At 40.1% G+C, this 11,626-nt stretch overlaps 2 annotated features.

Moving 5' to 3' along the window:
- Positions 4,680-4,974: a silencer, noted in NCBI's record as "tiled region #3205; K562 Repressive non-DNase unmatched - State 23:Low". NCBI's record gives its function as "represses a minimal TATA promoter and a strong SV40 promoter by Sharpr-MPRA in K562 cells {active_cell/tissue: K562}" and the evidence as "EXISTENCE:reporter gene assay evidence [ECO:0000049][PMID:27701403]".
- Positions 4,680-4,974: an enhancer, noted in NCBI's record as "tiled region #3205; HepG2 Activating DNase matched - State 8:EnhW". NCBI's record gives its function as "activates a minimal TATA promoter and a strong SV40 promoter by Sharpr-MPRA in HepG2 cells {active_cell/tissue: HepG2}" and the evidence as "EXISTENCE:reporter gene assay evidence [ECO:0000049][PMID:27701403]".

Raw genomic sequence — 11,626 nt, forward strand, 5'->3', positions numbered from 1 at the left:
GGAGTCTGAGATCAGATTAACCCTCATGGCTTCAACTTAACTGTCATTCAGGTTTGGAGAAGCATGGTACAAGGAAGCAAAAATAAATAAATACAGAAATTAAGGATGAGGATTATGTCTATACAAGAACATTGGATGTAGTTACTGGTACATGAAACTCACTGGAAACAAATAGATCAGAACCCATCAAATTTTTGAGGGGATTTGAGAAAATGGCCCTAAAACTGTTGAAGTCGAGTAAACTTAACTTGAGGCCCTTAAACTTACATTTCAGAAAGTAAGAGGAGAAAGCTTTGTAGTCCCTAAGGAAGACACTCTCTTAAGGGGTCCAAGGAGAATAATGGATAAGGGAGGACTTCCAGAGGGAGGAGCTGAGGATGGGGTGAGGATGGAAAACCATGGATAAGGGTTTCTTCCAGAGAGTAAAATGACGACCTACCAGAGGAGGGCCTTCACATCTGCACGGCTGGATTTCAGAATGCTGACCGCTGACTTCTATGTGTCTCTCATTCTTTCCCCTTCTACAGCGAAGTTCATTGAGTCTCTGCTCCGCTATTGTGTTTTTAATATTGGTATGTGAGAGTGGGGGAAATGACAATAGACAACCAAAAAGTTCCTAGGTCACTAGACTTTGAGGAGCTATATCTAGCCCCGATGGGGAAAAATGAGCATTACCTCATAATCCTGGTCTTTGAGCTGCCTGCAGTGACTAGCTTTGGTTTTCCTCTTTTGAGGTGGGACTCACTGTGTTCTGCGTGTGAGAGGATGAATGAAATGGCTATTTGGGGACCAGAATGGTAGAGTGCGGTAGAGAAGAGACTTTCTAGCTCTTCACCAAATCCCATTTGTTTTTCTTTCTGGGCACCCTGCTAGATAGATTACAATTTGCAGCCTCTTTTCTAGTTAGATGTGGCCATGTGCCTCTGGCCAGTGGAATGTTTTTGCTCTTCCCTTGTTTGCTGTCTGTTTGGAAGTAAATACCCTGGGTGGGCTGGCAACCATATGTTGAAGATGACAGGCTCTCTCTGTGACTCTGTGGAGTGGAGTACTCTCCTTGCCCTAAGCAAGTGATCTCAGATGATCAAGAAATAAATTTCTCAATGTTAAGCCACTGAGGTTTCAGGGCTTTTCTGTTACAGCACCTAGTATTACTGTAACAAATACAACCTAGAAAGATATCTATGATATAGTAAGTACAGTCTTCCCTTAATATACATGGGGGATTGGTTTTAGGATGCGCCCCCTCCACCCCATTCCAGTTTACAAAAATCCACTCATACCAAGTCTGGCTGTTGGCCCTGCAGAACCTGTGTATATGAAAAGTTGGCCCTCCCTATAAGTATGTTTTGCAACCTGCAAATACTGTATTTTCTTCCTTCCTTCCTTTCTTTTCTTTTTTCTTTTTCTTTCTTTTTTTTTTTTGACAGAGTTTTGCTCTTTGTTGCCCAGGATGGAGTGCAATGGCACAATCTCGGCTCACTGCAAGCTCTACCTCCTGGGTTCAAGCGATTCTCCTCTCTTAGCCTCCCGAGTAGCTGGGATTACAGATGCACACCACGATGCCCAGCTAATTTTTGTATTTTTTAGTAGAGACAGGGTTTCACCATGTTGGCCAGGCTGCTCTTGAACTCCTGACCTCAGGTGATCTGCCCGCCTCGGCCTCCCAAAGTGCTGGGATTACAGGTGTGAGCCACCCCGCCTGGCCAAAATACTGTATTTTCTATTCACATGTTATTGAAATAAATCCACCTGTGAGTGGACCTGGTAGTTCAAACCCTTGTTGTTCAAGCGTCAACCATATAACATTAAAGAAGTGGTAGCTTCAGCTTAGCTGAGTTGACATCGTAGCCATATACCATGTCTCATATCCCCATATTCCCCATGTTCAACATAGTTGATATTTACAGCTTCACAGATGATAGTCAGCTGTCATCTAAATCAAATGGCTTAGTTTTTAATTTCCTACTCCTTCATATTAAATTCATTTTTCTTCATAGTTATGCTAAAACTAAATAGGCTCAAGTCATCACACCAGAATCCCTTATCTAGCTTTTTGATTACTAAGTTAAGGTGCTTCTATTTAGTTGCAGGGGCAGACAAGAATGGTGGATTGGTTATGTTGACACTTTGGGTGTAGGTAGATGGTGGTCAGTTTAAGAGGTTCTGAGAAATTATGGCAAAAATCTTCACATGGGAGCTGAGATGTGCAGAAACTGCCATAGAGATGGTTTTTCTCTTTGATGAGAAGCAAGTGGGACTGATAATGACTACCATTATTTTTTTTTTGAGATGGAGTCTTACTCTGTCACCCAGGCTGGAATGCAGTGGCATGATCTCGCCTCACCCCAACCTCCACCTCGCAGGTCCAAATGATCCTTCTGCCTCAGCCTCCTGAGTAGCTGGGATTACAGGTATGCACCACTACTCTTGGCTAACTTTTTTATTTTTAGTAGAGATGAGGTTTCACCATGTTGGCCAGGCTGGTCTCGAACTCCTGACCTCAAGTGATCTGCCTGCCTCAGCCTCCCAAAGTGCTGGGATTACAGGCATGAGCCACCACATTTGGCCATGACTACTATTCTTCAGTAAGGTATACTGCGTTCTTTCTGCCCCTTCCAAAAATTGCAGTCTAAAGCCTTTTGTTCGAAATTTGTTTGGATTATTGTCCTGTATCAAACAGATATTTATTAAAAGTTCCTTTAATTTTTATTTATCTAGTTATTTACCTAGAAAAAGCTTGTCTCAGCATTTCTAAATAAGATTTTTAAAAAAAGATTGTGACTGGAATATCACCATAAATCGTCTGTGGAAACAAAACAATTCCATATATCATGTTAAGTTTACCCTAACTGATTGAGGGATGGTATTTGCCTATAAAATCAAACAGTTCCAAAATACTTTCTATCAACAGGATGGTTTGGAATCCCATAACAGTGGGATTCCATCCTATAGAAGTAGCATAAGCTTCCCCTCACAGCTCCTTTAATTCTAGATTGTTACAGGATGTAATGCACATTTTTTTTTAACCTTCTCATTTTGCAGGCCCCTTAGTATTACCAGATAATTCTGCAAATACACTTTCTCCTTTTTTGCCATTTAATATAGATCATGGATCCAAAATGGACCCCCACATTGATCCTTTTCTTTATGGGTATTATGTTTGAATTAGGAATAAGTCCAATAATTGCCTCAATACATGCCATTTTTTTCTCAGCTCTCATTTTGGATTACTATAGTTTGCACTCTTCATCCCCCTCAACCCAGGCTACTCTACTTATTAAAATTGTTGGATCCCTTGTTTTAGGGCAGGCCTAATTATTGGGTGTAGTTAAGGAGTCTTCTATTGTGAGAGGCAAGGAAATGGGACATCCTGGTATTTTTCCCCAGTTATCTTCTGAGTCTCAGTGGCAAGGGAAGGAATATCTTATGCCCATCCATAATTGGAAGAGACAGCTGATGTTTGGTGAGGCCTGCAGACTTGGGCTGGGCTTAGGGACTTGGAGTAAAGCCCCTCAAAAGACCTCAGAGGTGAGCATCACTATCACCAGCAATGAATTGAAGGGCCAGCAATTCCCATTAGAACCCTATGCGGATGTTATATTTTGTGCTGTATTCTTACACTGTATGCAGTATTTTATACTGTATTTTTACTGTATCCTTCTATGTTTAGACACACAAATACCTACCATTGTGTTTCAATTGCCTACAATATTCAGTACAGTAATGTACTGTACAGGTTTGTAGCCTACAAGCAATAAGTTACACCATACAGCTTAGGTGTGTAGTGGGCTACCCAACCTAGGTTTGTGAATTACGCTCTATCATGTCCACAGAATGATGAAATCGCCTAATGATGCATTTCTGAGAATGTATTCCTGTAGCAAGCATGCATGACGGTGAAAGTGTAGTAGAAAGAGGAAAGTAGGATAGGCGGTGTTAAGTCAAGTTAAGCTTGTTTAAAAAAGGAAGAAGTATCAAATGCTGAAGAGAGGTCAATTAAGGTGATGTCTGAATGTCCTTTGGATCTAAGAAGGTAGAGGTTAATTATGGTAGTGATAGGGTGATAATTTCAGAAGTCAGGAAATAAAGGTGGATTATACTTGTGGTCTTCAAACATTTTTGCTTATATGCAACCTAAATGAAATAATGTCAACCCTGTGTACCTCCATTTTACAGTCGGCATCTAAATGTTTATCATAAGTTTAAATATATATAATATATATCATAAGTTTATATATATCATCGTAAGTTTAAGTATATATTTTAATATATAATTTTATTAAAAGTCTAGCATTTTAACATGAAATTATTTCATTCTTCTTTTAAATATATTCAATGGAATACAAATACCATCATCATTTGAAACCTACCATCATCCATTTAAAAATATACAAACCGTACTCTCCTTTAGTCAGAAATTTTACATGATTCTTTTTTTTCTCTAAAATCATACTTCCAATTTAATTTCCCCACAAAATTTAATCCTGTCTCAATTACCCTTTTGTTGCCTCTCATCTCCAAAGTCATACTTCATTGGTTTTGTGAAAATGGATCTGGATCCTTTAAATATCTTTTCTTTGCCAACTGGCATAATGCTGATTTGTTCATAGAAGGTGTTGGAGAGATATTCCAGGAGGAAGGAATGGGTATGTCTTCCTGGGTCTAACGTGGTTTTCTCCAATGCTAGGCAAAGCGCAGCTTTTTTTAGCTCTTCATGAAGGCAGTAGTGCTATAGCTGGGAGCCTCAGACAATGTGGCTCTGAGTCTTAGCCCATTCTGCTGCTCCTCATACCCTATCCTCAGCGCCTCATGCGTACTTGCTGGGGCCCTGCAGTGATGGCCATTTAGCAAGCCAGCCAACTGACCTTTGCTCTGCACCAAAGCCCAGAGCTTTCCAAGCCCAAGCTATACACAGAAGTGTGTTAGGTTTCGACAGAGGGCAGTCTGTTTATCTCCTGGTTTCAGCAATGCCCACAGTGGTGCCACAACTCTCTCCATGTCCCCCACCTCCATCAACTCTGGCTCTCCTGTGTGCAAAAGGTTTTTTCCCCACAGCCCTCCTGTCATGAACATCGTGTGCTCCAGGCCTTATCGGGCCTACCAGCCTTGGCTTGCCAATGCCCCAAAGGGTTGTTCTTGTTTTCCCAGCAATTATGGACCAATTCTGGCTTCAAATAAAATAAAATTTCTTTCTTGTCCAGTGGGCTACAACCACACCTTCTTCAAAGAGGTCTTCAAATAGGTGACCAGGTTTGTCTTTCTTTTGGGCTCTCCCTCAACTTTAGGGTACCCTTAGAGTTCTCATTCACAGCTTAAAAATTTTTTATATTAAATTTCCCCTATTTAAATTACTGTGCAGTTTCTCTCTTGGTTGAACCCAGATTGATGCAAATCCTAATGTAATGTTTATGCTTGAAAGCCTTTTATGATCAACCTATCATACTTCTCTGTAATAGGGTATAAATTGAAATAATTAAAAAATATTTCTTGTGACCTTAAGACTCTAAGTTAAATCGTTTTTCTTAATTACTAATTCAATTTATTTAAGTACAAGTATTCAAAACCACATAAATATATTATAAATTTTGATAATATAAAAAAAAAATACATATTACAAATGCATGACATAACTAAGAGGGTAGAGAAAGGAGGGGCTGACTTTGGAAATGACTGGAACTCTAAAGACAAATGGATTGTTCATAAGCATTGTACACTAGTTGGTGAAGTTGTTTCTCATGGGGTATGGGTTAACAAATCTGAACCTACCATAGATGTATATTGGGATTGAACAAAAAAGTAAATGGATAGAGGATGGTGGGAGTTAAGTGTCTCACTGTTGGAGTGGGGTGTGGGTTTACAGATAAGCAAGCAGGGAAGCTATAATGAACCATGTGGTACTGGATTAGAATACAAACGTAAGAATGAACGAACTCATGTTTATCTTTCTTTTTTCTTTATTTTCTTTTTTTTTTTTTGAGATGGAGCCTGGCTCTGCCGCCAGGCTGGAGTGCTGTGGCGCGATCTCGGCTCACTGCAACCTCCGACTCCCTGGTTCAAGCGATTCTCCTGCCTCAGCCTCCTGAGTAGCTGGCATTACAGGCATGTGTCATCATGCCCAGCTCATTTTTTTGTATTTTAATAGAGACGGAGTTTCACTATGTTGGCCAGGATGGTCTCGATCTCCTGACCTTGTGACCCACCCGCCTTGGCCTCCCAAAGTGCTGGGATTACAGGCGTGAGCCACTGCGCCCAGCCAAGCTCATGTTTATCTTAATATAGATACTGATGGATAGATGTAGATAAACTTGTAGATATGTGTCTATACAGAGATAACTATAACACATCTATTTCTAGCTCTGTTTGCTCAGAGGGCCTTAGAGCAAGGACACTCCAGTAGCAATGAGCATATCCAGTGCCCAGATTTTGGTTGCTAATACCATTCTCCAATAAAGGGTACTAGAGCTCCTTGGAGAAATGACTGATCCTAGAGCTGGGGCAATGAATATACTAGATGAGTCTTGATATCTTGTAATGTGAGAAAGTAAAGAAGTGGTCAAAACCCTAAATGGTGGGGATTTATCTAAGGAACATAGGAGCAAACTGAAAGAGCTCCCAGTGGCTAAACCTGGAATAATTTTAACAATATTTTTTCTTCTTCTTCTTTTTTTTTTTGAGGCAGAGTCTCACTCTGTTGCCCAGGCTGGAGTTCAATGGCACAATCTTGGCTCACTACAACCTCTGCCTCCTGGGTTCAAGAGATTCTCGTGTCTCAGCCTCCCAAGTAGCTGGGATTACAGGGGTATGCCACCACACCCGGCTAATTTTTGTATTTTTAATAGAGATACGGTTTCACCATGTTGGCCAGGCCGGTCTGGAACCCCTGACCGTAAGTGATTCACCTTCCTCGCCCTCCCAAAGTGCTGGGATTACAGGCATGAGCCACCACGCCTGGCCAATAATATTTTTAAAATGTCATATTGGATTATAAACCTGTCTTAGTCCATTTTATGTGGTATAACAGAATACTACAGACTGGGTAATTTATAATGAAGAGAAATTTATTTGGCTCACTGTTCTGGAGGCTGGGAAGTCCGAAAGCATGGCACGAGCATCTGGCAAGGACCCTCTTGCTGTGTCATCCCATGGAAGAGACAGAAGGGCAAGAGAGTGCAATAGGGCAATAGAGAAAGGGGGCTCAACTCATCCTTTTTATCAGGAACTCACTCCTATGGTACTAACTAACTAACTCCTGCAATAATACCATTAATCCATTCACGAGGGCAGAGCCTAATAAGCTCTTAAAAATCCTTCCTCTCAAAACTGTTGCATTGGGAATTAAGTTCTTAACACTTGCCTATTGGGGATCATGTTCAAACCATAGCAAACGCTTAGTATACATAAATATCTATGAGCAAGTACTATATAAATAAATAATTGAATAAGTAAATAAATTGGGGGAGAAGAGATAAATCTCCGGTATAGAAAGCTTCCAAATAATTTATATAGATACTCTTTCCTCAAGGAGGTGGAACATAAATCCCTACCCCTTAAGTGTGGACTACACTTAGCAACTTATTTCCAAAAAGTACAATATGGAAAAGGGTAGGGAGTAACTTTTTAATGGGAAACCTGGCAAATGGTACCTTATCTAGGTGACGAAATTTAACATAATCAGTGATAAGTCATGTTGATAACATGTACCTTTGATATGATGTATTGAGAATGAAACTTTAACTCGTTATGTAGTTTTCCTCCTCAAAGCACATAACCCAAGTCTAATCACGAGGAAAACATCAGACAAATCCAAATTGAGCAATATTCTATAAAATACCTGACCAGTATTCCTTAAAACTTCAAGGTCATAAAAAAAAAGGCAAGTTTGAGAAACTGTCACAGCTAAGAGGAGCTCAAGGAGATATGATGACTAAATCTAACGATATATCCTACATGAGGGTATATATATCCTATATAAGGATATATCCTACATGAGATCCTATAACATAAATAGGACATTAAAGAAAAACTAATGAGTTCTGAATAAAGGATGGTGTTTAGTTAATAATAATGTATCAATATTGGTTCATTAGTTGTGACCAATGTACCATAGTAATAGTAATGTAAGATATTAATAATAGGAGAAATTTGGTGTTTTATATTTGGGAACTCTTTATACTATTTTTGTAACTTTTCTGTTAATCTATTCTAAAATTGAGAGTTTATTTAAATTTTGGCTGGGCATGGTGGCTCACGCCTGTAATCCCAGCACTTTGGGAGGCCGAGGTGGTCGAATCACCTGAGGTCAGGAGTTCGAGACCAGCCTGACCAATATGGTGGAACCCTGTCTCTACTAAAAATACAAAAAATCAGCCAGGCATGGTGGCTTGCGCCTGTAGTCCCAGCTACTCGGGAGGCTGTGACACAAGAATTGCTTGAACCCAGGAGGCGGAGGTTGTAGTGAGCCGAGATCACGTCACTGTACTCCAGCCTGGGTGACAGAGCAAAACTCCGTCTCAAAAAAAAAAAAAAAAAAGAAAAAGAAAATTTATTTAAATTTTAAAAAGTAGATGTAATGGAAATGCATCTCTTAGTGAGATGAATGGGATGTTACAGTGGTTTAAAGGAGATTTTGCTGATCCCAGTATTTCAAATTATTCCTTTATTTATTGCTCTGGTAGTATTTAGATCTTAGGTCTTGGCTTAGTAAGATTCAGGATGGGTGACAGATATATATTTATTTCACAAAGTGGAAGGACAATTGTAAAAGTGGAGGATAGAAAAAAAGAACCCTTGTGATGGGTAGGTCTCAGGTGTGTTCTCTGGCTTGGGAAAGAGTGCCTGTGGAAATTGAAGCACTGGAAATTTACTCTTTTAAAACTGTTGGTGCCCATGTACTCACTCCTTGAAATGTCTTTGTAATATGCCCTAACGGTAGGTGTACCTCAGTCTAAAGACTTCTGATATATATCATCTTGAGAAGTTCAGCTGTGAAAGAGAACAGAGCAGGAGTAGTTGGAGAGGATATGAAGTCTAGAAAAGCTTCCTTCAGAAGCTTAAGTACATTTAAATGTCAAGGGGAAGGCCATTGTTGAGGGGAGGAAGGAAGGGAGACCCCATGTGGACTTCAGATTTAGCCTCAGAGTTTTGAACATGGTTTAGAGAAAGCTCTATATAGGGGTTATATGCACAGCTCAGTTTATAATAAAATGTACTTTGTGTCCCATTTACAATGTTAACATTATAACATTATCATTATTATGGTCACTGCCTTGCATACTTTGTCAACTCCCTTGCCCCACTCTCACTGTTGCTTCCTTACACAGTCTTGACTAAGCCACAGCCCTTTTTTGTTTGTTTGTTTGAGATGGAGTCTCACTCTGCCGCCCAGGCTGCAGTGCAGTGGCGGGATCTCGGCTCACTGCAAGCTCCGCCTCCCCGGGTTCACGCCATTCTCCTGCCTCAGCCTCCCGAGTAGCTGGGACTACAGGCGTCCGCCACCACACCCGGCTAATTTTTTGTATTTTTAGTAGAGACGGGGTTTCACCGTGTTAGCCAGGATGGTCTCGATCTCCTGACCTCGTGATCCGCCCACCTCTGCCTCCCAAAGTGCTGGGATTACAGGCGTGAGCCACCGCGCCTGCACCACAGCCCTTTAAATGCAATTCTCTGTCTTTGTTTTCCTCCTTTCTAGTGGGCACCCCTCCTCCATTTGTGACCTACTTAATGCTCTCACTTTAGAGTCATGATCACTAATTTAAGAGGATCTTTATATTTTCGGGCAAACATACCCTATAGTTCCCCATTCCCTTCACTCTCTCACTCTCCTAGATGACTGTTTCATGATTTATTTCTTCTCAAATCTCCAATACCTTCTCCTTCTTCACTCTCAGCTTCCTCGCTTTCATATCACTGAGGTTGAAAGTGACTCTAGTTTGTCCTGGCAAGTTCCAGTTTATCTTCCCCATTTTGCTTCCAACTCTCCTGACAATGAGCTTGGCTGACCTGAAGTGACTTCAGGCCCAACACCAGATGCAAAGACAACTGTCTTACATAACTTTTAAACCAGTTCCCACATTTGTACAAGGCCTAATCCTTATAATAAACTCTTTACTCTATAACTCTCAGTGGTTCTGCTTTTCTGATCAAAGAAAACAGAAAAGTAAAGAGGAAAAAAAATGGAAGCAATCAGAAGAGAATGGCCATAATCTCCCATCACATCTGCCTGTATCTCTGCCCATAATCTCAATGGTTCTTCTTATGTCTGTGGATCAACTCTCTATGGTCCTAGCCAAGACCAACTCCCTCCTTTTCTGCACTATATCCCATCTCTTTTCACCTTCCCAGGGACTTGTGTCCAGCACATCTCTCTCTATCTCCATTAGCATTTGCTCCTGTACTGGAATTTTCCCATCCATTTACAAACACTGTGAGATTTTTCTACTTTAAAACTACCCTGTCTTGACTTCTTCCTCTAGCCAATACCCCATCTCTCATCTATACAGCAAAAGTCTCAGAAAGAGTTGTCTAAACTCCCTATCTCCTGTTTTCCTTTCCTGTGCTTTCTGGAATCTATGATAATCAGGCTTTTGCCCCCACCTTTGCTCCGAACACTGCTCCTATCAAGATCACCAAAGAGCTCCACATTGGTAAATCCAGTGGTTCTCTTTCCTCCTCTCACTTGATTTGTCAATAGCAGTTGACACAACCGATTACTGTCTCCTCTGGAAACATCTTCTTCATCTGGCTTTCAGGAAATCTCCTGGTTTTTCTCCTACATCACTGATCCCTTCTTCTCAATCTCCTTTCCATTTTCTTCTATTTCTGTCTAATGTTGTCCCATGGCTTGGTGGTTGAAATTTTTCTATTTTCTGTTTATATTCACTACCTTGGTAATCTTATCCATTTTTATAGCTTTAAACATCATCTATACTCTGATGACTCCCAAATTTATACTTCCCAGATTTATATTTTCTATTGAACTTGAGACTTACATAATACAAATACCTACTTAGTAACTCCACTTGGAAGTCTAGTAGGTATTTCAAATTTAACTTGCCCAAAAATTGAGCTCCCAAGCTCTGTAAATTATACCTTTCTCATAATCTTCCCCATTGCAATAAATGACAATGTCATTCTTAGGCCACAAACCTTGGTGCTATCCCTGATTCCTCCGCTGTACCTTCAAAATATATCCAAATGTATAAAGAATGACAACCTTTGTATTTACTACTCTATCTCCCACTGTTGAAAGTTTGAGAATATATCTGTCCATATATTTTTCATGCCAAAGTTGGAGTCAACCTAAATGTTCATTAGTGAGAGAATGATTAAATATATTATGGCAGATTATATTATGCAGCTGCTAAGAAGAATATGTATTCAGTAGTGCTGCTATAATATGACACAGGCATTCCTAAAAATCACCAAGTTATATCAAATCACACAATAACCACCACAGGGCCTATGGGAAAATGGAGTTGGGACTTAATATTAAAAAATTTTGCCAGTGACAGTAAAAAAGACAGAAACCTAATGAAAATGATAGCACAGTTTTAAACATGTTAAATGATTAAGGAATACACAAATACTATAATACATATGGCTCCTTACCTTGAAAAATACTCAAAGT

This window comes from Homo sapiens, chromosome 9, assembly GCF_000001405.40.
Source record: "Homo sapiens chromosome 9, GRCh38.p14 Primary Assembly".
NCBI lineage: Eukaryota > Metazoa > Chordata > Mammalia > Primates > Hominidae > Homo > Homo sapiens.